The following is an 8,903-nucleotide window of genomic DNA, read 5'->3' on the forward strand; positions in this document are numbered from 1 at the left end:
ATCAATAGATAACGTCCTTCTTTGTCTCTTGTAATCTTTTTGATTTAGAGGCTACTATACCTGACAATAATAAAGCCACCTTGACTCTCTTCTGGTTGCTATTTGCATGAAGTATTTTTTTTTCTTTTTCTTTTTCTTTTTTTCTTTCTTGAAACAGAGTCTCACTCTGTTGCCCCAGGCTAGAGTGCAGTGGTGTGATCATGACTCACTGCAGCTTTGACCTTCCTGAGATCAGGTGATCCTCCCACCTCAGCCTCCGGGGTAGCTGGGACTAAAGGTGCACACCACCATGCCCAGCTAATTTTTTGTGTTTTTTGTAGAAATGGGGTTTTGCCTTGTTGCCCAGGCTGGTCTCAAACTCTTTAAGCAATCCACCTGCCTCAGCCTCCCAAAGTGCTGGGATTACAGGTGTAAGCCACCATGCCAGGCCATAAAATATTTCTTCCATCCTTTTACTTCTGGTGTTTTTATGTTCTTATATCTGAAGTGAGTCTCTGATAGACAACATATAGATTAACCTTTTTTAAAAAACCAATCTGAAAATTCATTTATTAATAGGAGAGTTTAATCTATTTATATTTAATGAGATTACTGACAAATGATTTGCTTTCAGGTTCAGAATTTGTTTGGTCCCTTTAAAATTTTTCTCTGTATTAATTTTTTTTTTTTTTTTTTTTTTGAGACAGAGTCTTGCTCTTTCACCCAGGCCACAGTGCAGTGGCACTCTTGGCTCGCTGCAAGCTCTGCCTCCCCAGTTCATGCCATTCTCCTGCCTCAGCCTCCCGAGTAGCTGGGACTACAGGTGCCCACCACTGTGCCCGGCTAATTTTTTGTATTTTTAGTAGAGATGGGGTTTCACTGTGTTAGCCAGGATGGTCTTGATCTCCTGACCTCGTGATCCACCCACCTAGGCCTCCCAAAGTGCTGGGATTACAGGCATGAGCCACCGCGCCCGGCCCTCTTTATTAGTATTCTTTATGTTCAGACATAATTTTCCTAATTTCCTTTAGTTCTTTGTCCATGGCTTCCCTTAGTTCATTGAACATACTAAGACAGTTGATTTATTGTTTTTGATTAATAATTCCAATGCCTGGGCTTCCTGAGGGATACTTCCCATCACAATCTCTTTTTCAGCCAGGTGCAGTGGCTCATGCCTATGATCTCAGAACTTTGGGAGGCTGAGGTGGGAGAGTCATTTGAGTTCAGGAGTTTGAGACCAGGGCAACATAGTGAGACCCTGTCTCTCTTTTGACTCCAGCCCACTTCCCCTCACTTGGAGGACATCAGAGAGGCTGTGGCATTTTCGGGGTCCAGCCAAAGGGAAGGTGGGTTGAAGATGGTCCCAGGTTGGGTTCTCTAGGAATCCAACTCCAAGAGGAAGATCAGAGCACAAGATATTTACAAGAGTCCCTTGAGATGAGCACCTCAGGGAAGGAGGGAAAGGGTTGGGCAAGGAAGAAGTCTGGCTATAGGGGCTCTGCCACAGCCAGAGTGGACCTGTCTGCTGGCCGTCCCCTGAGTGGCTGGCAGCAGCTGGCCTTTGTGTGGCATATCTCTGAGTCTACCACAGGGACACACTGGGTGTTATAAGTAAAATGTTTATTCAGAAACAGAATGCTGTTCTTCAGTACCGCAAGGAAAAATTAGCATTGAGACAAAAAGTTTTCTCAGCAAGGCAAATTTACTTTCTGCAGAAAGGGTGCTCCTTGCAGATGAAACAATGGTGAGAGCACACTTGAACAAAGGAGGGAAGCAATTTTTATTCTTTATGCAGCTTGTCCTTGCTACTGTGTCCTGCCTCCATTGGCTGGAGACGGACTGCACAATCTAAGCTAAACTTGACCGGCTAATAACTTAAAATTTTCTTAAATAGGTAAAGGCAAGGGAGAACAAAGGAAAAGAGGAAATTGCTTACGAAAGGACTTAGAAGGACTTAGAAAAGTAATAACATTTCTTTTTTTCTTTTTTTTCTTTTTTGAGATGGAGTCTTGCTCTGTCGCCCAGGCTGGAGTGCAATGGCATGATCTCGGCTCACTGCAAGCTCTGCCATGGGTTCACGCCATTCTTCTGCCTCAGCTTCCGGAGTAGCTGGGACTACAGGCACCCACCACCATGCCTGGCTAATCTTTTTTGCATTTTTGGTAGAGGCGGGGTTTCACTGTGTTAACCAGGATGGTCTTGATCTCCTGACCTCATGATCTGCCCGCCTCAGCCTCCCAAAGTGCTGGGATAACAGGCGTGAGTCACTGCACCCAGCCAAAAGTAATAACATTTCGAAATAAGGAAGGCACATAGGCTGCAAGCTGGAATGTGCCTGTGAGCATGTCCAGCACAAATATTTTGGTTAAAGTACAAGGACACAGAATGTACTTATTTCTTTATATCTAACAGCTACATAAGATAGGGCTTAACAAAGAGTTATTAGCACAAAGTGAGGAGGCTTAAAGGAAGTTAGTCTTTAAAAGAAACTATTATTTGTAACACTTATAATTTATTCTTTAACAAGAAGGGAAACTTTGAAGAGGAACTTTTTTTTTTTTACTTTCTACACCAGGTTAAGAGGGACATATTTATGTGGTTTGCTCCACCCTTGTGTAAAGTTAGTTTATTGGTCTTGTTCTAGAATAAACTAGGAATGTGGCTCGTAGGAAAATCCTGCTGGGTAAGGACAGAAGTGCAAAGTCCTATTGCCTTAAGGACATGCCCCACGGCACCCAGTGCTGGGAAAACTGTGAGCCATGGAAGGAAAACAAGGTTTGAAATGCGTGGAGCCAGAACCTCGTCTGTGGAAAATTCTTCCAAATTTCATAGTTCCTATATGAAAGAAGGCTGATGACAGTTTCTCAAATTTTACAACAATCCAGAACATTTGTATGGCACCGTCAACAACAGATTAGGAAGTTTAACTTTCCTAAACTACCAATAATTAAAACACAAATTTCAACCATGTTAGGAGGAAGACTGAAGTATCTTTTCTCTGTATGGAAAATATCTCCCCCAAAAATCACAAAATCCTTGTCCTCTGTAGAGGCCTTCAGAGTAAGAAGCCAGACCATGTAGGGGACCAAGGTATTAGAAATATGTCAGGAAGTTGCCACAAGTTATGTTATTTTTCTGGATTTAGTATTGTAGTATTTGTCAATTTAAAAAAAAAGTTTTCAAAAAAAAGTATCATCATTTCTTTTCTCATTATTTTAATTCACTTCCATTTTTGAATTCATAACGTTGTTGCCTTTTTCTAAAGCAGGAACCTGGGACAGGCACTGTGGCTCATACCTGTCATCCCAGCACTTTGAGAGGCAGAGGCAAGAGGATCAGTTGAAGCCAGCCTGGGCAAGATAGACTCCATCTCTACAAATATATATATATTTTTTAATTAGCTGGGTATGGTGATGTATGCCTATAGTCTCAGCTACTTGGGAGGCCAAGGCAGGAGGATTGCTTGAGTTCGTCAAAAAAACAAAAAGAAACAATTTTTAAAAAGGGGAAAAAGAAAGAGAAAGGGATTAAAGTGAGGGTCCCTTCTTTTCCAGGGTCCTTAGAGCAAGGGCGGCTGAGGCACTAGAGCATGTTTGAGACTGCCATAGAAACAAAGGCAGCTAGGGCGGCCTGCCTGACCCCAGGTTGGGGCTGCTGGAGCCAAGAATCTGGGGAGGGGCTGTTATTGGAGACAGAGCAGTGGCCTCTCAAGGGAGGGCCTTGCAGGGCCTGGGAAGAAGGAAGCCAGAGCCAGCTGCTGTTTGATGGCAGGACTAAAGTCACCTCCCTGAGGTGGTGACAAGGATGGGTGAAGCCAAAGGGTGTGCGACTCCACAGTGATGGGGGCTTGGGGCTCTCAGTCCCCCATCAGAGATCCTCAGCATCTGGTTCCAGCTTCACCACTGCCCCCACCCCTCTTCTCAGCTGACCAGGTCCCTCCTCAGCTCACCCTGTGCACTGGAGAGGCCCAGTACCCTCACTCAGCACTTGAGGCCCTTTATCATGTGCACTGCCCACCTTGCCCATGTGCAGAGAGTACCAAACACAGCACGTGGCTTTTGCTCAGAACCAGACCGCCACCTGGATTTCCCTTCCTCACACCCATTTCCCCTCAGGGCTCAGCCAGGTTGTTGGCTCCTCTGGGCAACCCTTCCTGAGCCACCCAAGCCTGTCCCGTTGGTAAGTCCTCTCCCATCACACAGGGAGTCCCCAGGTACTGGTCAGGCCAGAGGAGCAGTTTTTGTTTGTTTTGAGACAAGTTCTTGCTCTGTCACCCAGGCTGGAGTACAGTGGCACAATCTTGGCTCACTGCAACCACTGCCTGCCAGGCTCAAGCCATCCTCCCACCTCAGCTTCCTGAGTAGTTGGTACTACAGGCACACACCACTATGTGTGTGCTCAGCTAATTTTTGTTTGTTTGTTTGTATTTTTCGTAGGGATGGGGTTGCCATGTTGCCCAGGCTGGTCTCGAACTCTTGAGCTCAAATGATCCTCCCACCTCGGCCTCTCAAAGCGCTGGGATTACGGGTGTGAGCCACCACGCCCAGCCCAGAGGAGCAGTTGTGTCTCCAGGAGGGATCCTTAGGGAGGAAAGGTCAGTTGGTGGGGGCAATGGAGCAGTGTGAGCCAGCCTATGCCCCACCTGCCCGCCCGTCCTGGACACCAAGTCAGCTGACTCTAAAAGCTGAAAAGGGACACACGGTCCAGACAGGCCTGGAAAGAGCAGACCTGGCCCAGGACCTCAGGCTGTCAGGCAAAGAGAGGCACATGTTCGGTCACCCACTCTGGGTGGAAGTCCCCTTTATTTGGATTTGCCGCTGGGTGGCTAGATGACGTAGGTGGCCTTCGATGTGGACCAGGAGGGCATCCAGCATGTGCAGGACCCCACGGAGCAGGGTGTGGTCTGAGATTGGGGCCCGCCGTTTCCAGGGTCCGCAGGGCTCAGTGGTCACCTGCGGATGCTGAGACCAGGACCAAGAGGCAGGAGTGAGAATGGTGGGCAGAGAGGGAGATGTGACAAGGGGCAGTGATGGAGCTGGGGAGCAGGGAGTAGGGTGTGGGGCAGTGCCCAGATGGGATGGGAGGGAGACTCAGGGTGATAGAGGATCACCGAGGGTCTGTTGTGGGCTACAGTGGTCATGGGGCCCACAGGGGCTGGATGAGAGCAGGGGTACTAAAGGGGAGAGTTGGGGGCAGGGTGCTGGCTGTGGGTGGTGGACATGGGTTCCACGAAGGTGTGTGGACACAGGGACAATGGGCTGTGAGCTGGGGGTGGGGGTGTGGGAGGTCCACAGGCCAGTGTGGACCCATGGGGCAGGGTTGGGTGGAAGACGGGCTCACTGAGCGTACGTATATTGAGGCAGGGGCTGTGGGGGAGAAAGAAGAGCTGTGCTCACCTCACCCTTGGTGGCCTGTGAGCGCCGCCGCCCCTGCAGTATCTTGCGGCAGATCATCAGCATCGTGGTGGTGATCATGACCGCAGCCACGGGGTAGATGCGGCTTGCTCCAGGGCCCAGCCAGTAGCCAGGACAGCTCAGGCCACCCCTACAGCCCTCCACACTCTTTGGCTGACACCCCCAGGGCTGCAAGTCCAGCCCCACCTGGTACCAGAGGGGTCTCGACCAGGCGTGGGTGGAGGCAGACGTCACCAGCAGGAGCAGCAAAGGCAGCGAGGCCAGCACATGCAGCATGGCCGTCGCTAGTGCCAGGGCCGGAACCCGGGCACCTGGCAACGGGCAAACGCCCCTCCCCCGGGAAGAGGCCTGGCTCTAAGGCAGCAGGTTCCAGCCAGGCCCATGGCCTTTCATGAGCAGCCTGGCCAGAAACTGGCTGTGGTCAGGGGGCTGGAGTCCAGGGCTTGAGGACAACGGCAGACCTGGGTTCTGGGTCCTGCTGTCCCAGCGGGCCTAGCTGGCCCCAAACTGAGGGAGCACCTCCTTTTGAAGCTGGGCCCTAGGCTGGGTGTAGTGGCACACACCTGGAATCCCAGCACTTTGGGAGGTTGAGGCAGGTGGATGGCTTGAGCCCAGAAGTTTGAGACCAGCCTGGGCATCACGGCAAAACCCCATCTCCATAAAAAATACAAATAATTAGCTGGGTATAGTGGCACATGCCTGTTGTCCCAGCTACCCAGGAGGCTGAAGTGGGAGGATCACCTAAGCCTGGGAGGTCAAGACTGCAATGAGCTGTGATTGCACCACTGCACTCCAGCCTGGGCAACAGAGTGAGATTTTTTCTCAAAAAAGATAAAAAAAGAAACTAAGTCCCAAACAGTTAAAGAAACCAGTAACTAACAGAAATTCTTTTTTTTTTTTTGAGACAGAGTCTTGCTCTGTCGCCCAGGCTGGAGTGCAGTGGCACGATCTCCGCTCACCGCAAGCTCTGCCTCCCGGGTTCACGCCATTCTCCTGCCTCAGCCTCCTGAGTAGCTGGGACTACAGGCGCCCGCCACCTCGCCCGGCTAATTTTTTGTATTTTTAGTAGAGACGGGGTTTCACCGTGTTAGCCAGGATGGTCTCAATCTTCTGACCTCGTGATCCACCTGCCTCGGCCTCCCAAAGTGCTGGGATTACAGGCGTGAGCCACCGCACCCGACCTTACAAACTTTTTTTTTTTTTTTAACTAGGCTGGGCACCATGGCTCAGGCCTGTAATCCCAGCACTTTGGGAGGCCAAGGCAGATGGATCACCCGAGGTCGGGGGCTCGAGACCAGCCTGACCAACATGGAGACCTGCCTCTACTAAAATAGCCAGGCGTGGTGGTTCATGCCTGTAATCCCAGCTACTCAGCAGGCCGAGGCAGGGGAATCACTTGAACCTGGAAGGTGGAGGTTGTGGTGAGCCGAGATCGCGCCATTGCATTCCAGCCTGGGCAACAACAGCAAAACTCCATCTCAAAAAAAAGAAAAAGGCCGGCTGTGGTGGCTCACACTTGTAATCCCAGCACTTCAGGAAGCTGAGGTGGGTGGATCACGACATCAGGAAATTGAGACCATCCTGGCTAACATGGTGAAACCCCGTCTCTACTAAAAATACAAAAAAAAAAAAAAATTAGCTGGGCGTGCTGGCACACCCCTGTAGTCCCAGCTACTTGGGAAGCTGAGGCAGGAGAATCACTTAAACCCGGGAGGCAGAGTTTGCAGTGAGTTGAGATCATGTCACTGCACTCTGGCCTGGGCGACAGAGCGAGACTCCATCTCAAAATACAAACAAACAAAAACTAGCTGGGGCTGGGTGCGGTGGCTCACCCCTGTAATCCCAACACTTTGGGAGGCCAAGGCAGGAGGATCACTTGAGGTCAGGAGTTCAAAACCAGCCTGGCCAATATGGTGAAACTTCGTCTCTACAAAAATACAAAAATTAGCTGGACATGATGGTGGGTGCCTGTAATCCCAGCTATTCAGGAGGCTGAGGTGGGAGAATCACTTGGACCCAGGAGGTGGAGGTTGCAGTGAGCCAAGATCGTACCATTGCACTCCAGCCTGGGCGACAGAGCGAGACTCCGTCTTGGGTGGGGGGAGGTGGGGGAACTAGCTGGGTGTGGTGGCATGTACCTGTAGTCCCAGCTACTTAGGAGGCTGAGGCAGGAAGATCGCTTGAGCCCAGGAGGTCAATGCTGTAGTGAGTGGTGATCACAGCACTGCACTCCAGCCCGGGGAACAGAGCAAGAGCCGATTTAAAAAGAAAAAAAAAAAAAATCCACACGGCCCCTAAAACCTTTTGCTTTCCACCAGGGGCATCACCTCTCTAGGCTGACCAAACTCGCAGGTCCCCCACACCCAACCGCAGCCCCACAGTCCACATCGCAGTTGGGTGAGTGCTCAAAGATGTGGGATCAAAATCCACAGGCAGCTCCCCCGCTGTCAGAACAAAGCCCAAAGTCTCCCCCTGGACTGTGAGGTCCCCCCACCCTCTCACCTCAGCTCATGCTGCCCCTGCCTCCCACAGGCCTGCCTCAATACCCCCACTGCCAGCACCACAGCTCCCCAGGCCTAGAAAGTCACCTTCTTTCTTATGGCTGGAATTTCAGTTCCAGGGTCACCTGCTGAGTCCCCCTCCCATGAGCATCTTGGGTAACATATGACCTCTTCTATCACGTGACCCTGCTTTATTTTCTTCAAAGCATTTCTAACTACCTGCAATTTCCTGTTTGAGGTCTAAACTGCCCTCTCCAACATATAAGCTTCATTCAAACAATATTTACTGAGCAGCTGCCAGGCACCATTTCTGATGCTAGGACGTGGTGTGACAGAGTAAATAAAAGCTCTTATTTCCTGGGGCTGAACTTCTAGGCCATGAGTTGGGGGGTGGGGGGTGATGGTGCCAGGCACCAATACAGACCATGATAAAACAGAGCCAGGCAAGGGTACCTCTGCGATTTGAAGGGCAGGGTGGCCTCTGTCCATGCTCAGGATGGTGCCCAGACCCCTGCACAGAGCCTGGCACCTGCTCAGCACCTGATGAACAGCAGTGCTCGCATGTTTGGAGGAGAGGACCTGAGCCCAGCATTGTTTTCGCATTTCCTGGCATTTCCTCATTTATTTTTGAGACAGGGTCTTGCTCTGTCACACGAGCTGGAGTGCAGCTCCCTCCAGCATGATTTCAGCTCACTGCAACCTCCGCCTCTTGGGTTCAATTGATCCTCCCACCTCAGCCTTCCCAGTAGCTGGGATTACAGGCGTCCAGCACCATGCCCAGCTCATTTTTGTATTTTTAGTAGAGATGGGGTTTCACCTGCCTCGGGCCTCCCAAAGTGCTGGGATTATAGGCCCGGCATCTACTCATTTAATATTCACTGAGCAACCCCTGAAGCAAGAATTGTAGCCACTCACGCTCTACCGATGAACAGCACACTGAGGCCCAGACAGATCCTAAGACCCGGTCCCTCCCCTGCCATCACTGTCAGCTGACCCAACGCCCCACTGC

The 8,903-nt window shown here is 50.6% G+C and overlaps 1 protein-coding gene across 1 annotated transcript; it reads right to left on the minus strand.

The window, feature by feature from the left end:
- Positions 1-4,671: 4,671 nt before the first annotated feature.
- On the minus strand, positions 4,672-5,682 carry TMEM89 (transmembrane protein 89). The gene is made up of 2 exons (NM_001008269.3): positions 5,376-5,682; positions 4,672-4,940 (listed from the first exon to the last, which is right to left on the minus strand). The coding sequence occupies exons 1-2, from the start codon at positions 5,667-5,669 to the stop codon at positions 4,755-4,757; spliced, it is 480 nt and encodes a 159-aa protein (NP_001008270.1). The 5' UTR covers positions 5,670-5,682; the 3' UTR covers positions 4,672-4,754.

Source organism: Homo sapiens, chromosome 3 (genome assembly GCF_000001405.40).
Source record: "Homo sapiens chromosome 3, GRCh38.p14 Primary Assembly".
NCBI lineage: Eukaryota > Metazoa > Chordata > Mammalia > Primates > Hominidae > Homo > Homo sapiens.

What these genes read in the sequence shown, in the direction of transcription:
- TMEM89 (NM_001008269.3), bottom strand. Translation starts at nt 5,669, where the DNA reads ATGCTGCATGTGCTGGCCTCGCTGCCTTTGCTGCTCCTGCTGGTGACG. An exon ending in CACAGGCCACCAAGGGTGAG is followed by an intron (nt 4,941 to 5,375) that starts GTGAGCACAGCT and finishes TCCTGGTCTCAG; the next exon opens with CATCCGCAGGTGACCACTGA.